This window comes from Homo sapiens, chromosome 5 (assembly GCF_000001405.40).
Source record: "Homo sapiens chromosome 5, GRCh38.p14 Primary Assembly".
Classification (NCBI taxonomy): domain Eukaryota; kingdom Metazoa; phylum Chordata; class Mammalia; order Primates; family Hominidae; genus Homo; species Homo sapiens.
Window position 1 is genome coordinate 119,679,670 of NC_000005.10, and position 2,557 is coordinate 119,682,226.

Sequence of the window (2,557 nt, forward strand, 5' to 3'; positions counted from 1 at the left end):
CCTTGTTAGCCAGGATGGTCTCGATCTCCTGACCTCATGATCCACCCGCCTCGGCCTCCCAAAGTGCTGGGATTACAGGCGTGAGCCACCGCGCCCGGCCGAGAAGTCTCTTTAACAAGCAAAAAAGGCACTGCTAATAATTTTGATTCCTGCACCAAGTGCTCTATAAAAGTGGTGCTAAAAATGCCACTCTTAAAAAATTGTATTTCATTATATTTTAAAGCATGGTACAACTTTCTTCTAGTGATAAAGCCAGAGAACATAGTGTTTGAGAATATTTAATATGGGGATTTATATTTGAGTTAACTAAGCTAAAAAAAATCCCCACAGAATTGAAATTATTGATAACTGATGTGATTACCATGGAGGCTTATTGCGATTCAGCCTGAGAATACTACTTCCTAAGATGCAAAGAAATGTAGATTATTGACATTAGATAAATCCGTATGGAAGATATGTGGATTCTACTGGCCCTTAAATATTTGCTTTTTAAAAAGTTACTCTTCTGTCCATTCTTGGGGTGGAGATGGCTGCGGCTGTGGCGGGGCTGCTGCGAGGGGGTCTCCTGCCCCAGGCAGGCCGGCTGCCAGCCCTCCAGACTGTCCGCTATGGCTCCAAGGCTGTTACCCACCACCGTCGTGTGATGCACTTTCAGCGACAGAAGCTGATGGCTGTGACTGAATATATCCCCCCGACACCAGCCGTCAACCCAACATGCCTGCCATCTCCTCCTGGCCCCCCACAGGAGGCATCACTGGAAGCCCTAGAACTTACCCAGAGGGAGCAAGGTTGCCAGGAGCAGTGACGGCTGATGTACCCTTGGTTATTGCTTTCCAATTTCAGGAGACGGGCCTCATCAGGCTTCTCTGCCGGGAGAGAGCAGCAGTTTTCCAGGACAACCGAATGATAGCTATCTGCCAGAGCGTGGCTCTGAGCGTAGCAGACAAGCTTCTTATGCGACACCAGCTGCGGAAACACAAGATCCTGATGAAGGTCTTCCACAACCAGGTCCTGAAGCCCTTCCTGGAGGACTCCAAGTACCAAAATCTCCTGCCCCTTTTTGTGGGGCACAACATGCTGCTGGTCAGTGAAGAGCCCAAGGTCAAGGAGATGGTAAGGATCTTAAGGACTGTGCCATTCCTGCTGCTGCTAGGTGGCTGCATCAATGACGTAGATGCCATCCTCAGCAGGCAGGGCTTTATCAACTACTCCAGCCTTCCCAGCCTGCCCCTGGCATAGGGGGAGCTTGTGGGAGGCCTCACCCTACTCATGGCCCAGACCCACTCCCTGCTCCAGCACCAGCCCCTGAAGTTGACCACCCTATTGGACCAGTACATCAGACAGCAAAGCGAGAAGGATTCTGTCGTGTCGGCCAATGGGAAGCCAGATCCTCCTGACCCTGTTCCGGACTCGTACCCAGCCTGTTTAGCCAGCCCTGCCCATAAATACACTCTGTCCTATTGGCTGTGCTGTCCTCCATGGGAGATGTGGAAGAACTTGGGGTGGGGGAGTGCATTTGTCACTGGGCTTTCACTAACAATGATATTGTCAGGTATAGGGCCACTCGGAGATGCAGAGGATTCCATTTCAAATGGAGGCTGTCAGTCACTGGCTTCGTCCTTAGTTTTCCTAACTTGGGACCCAATAGAAGCAAAGTCCAAGGCAGAGAGGCTGAAAAGATAAGGCTACTACTCCCTGCCGCCTTGGTCACTGCCCCTTGCTGCACGGGCTCCTGAGCCCACCCCCTTGGGGCACAACCTGCCACTGCCACAGTAGCTCAACCAAGCAGTCGTGCTGAGGATAGCACCTGGTGAGAGCCTGCTGTGTGTCAGGCTTTGTGCTGAGCACTGCATATGCATTAGTTCCTTTATTCCTGACCACGTTGTACCCATGTCACAGAGAAGGAGCCGAGAAATTAAGTAGCTTGCACAAGGTTATGCAGTTAGTAAGTGGCAGAACAGGGACTTGAACCAGGCCCACTCTGCTCTGAAGACGGCATCCTGAATTTCTACACTATAGTTTCCTCATCAGGTTACCCAGAAGTGGGTCCCATCCACCATCCAGGTGTGCTTGGATGTTAGTTCTCCACCCTTGTGCCATGCTATGGAAAGTTTGGGAGCACTGCTTTACGATGAAAGGAAATACATTCTACTTCCTCTATTTTGTGGTTTACATGGTTGTCCTTCCTGTAGGCTTATTCTCAGGGGCTTCTCTGTCCTCTGACTTTCCTCACTCTCACTTCCCTTCCTAGGAAAATCCTCTTCCCCTGTATCTGTTCCCACAAATGGCATCCCGCACATGCTTGCTCTATTAAAGGCAGCTGACAGCTGTGCCCACTAGCTAACATTTCTCTGGTGGTTCTGAACAAAAGGGCTGGGGGGAAACTAGGATTCTCTGTTAATGGAGGATTCTGAGGGCTCTAGAGTAGGAGGCCTCAAGCAAGTCTTCATGAACCAGAAATTCCTAATAAAGGAGATAGGGTGCTTAACTTGAAAAACAAAGACAAACAAACAAACAAACAAACAGCAACAACAACAACAAAAAAGTTACTTATTTG

General features: G+C 49.6%; 1 pseudogene; it reads left to right on the top strand.

The window, feature by feature from the left end:
- Nucleotides 503-2,339, top strand: LOC348958 (mitochondrial ribosomal protein L10 pseudogene; annotated as a pseudogene).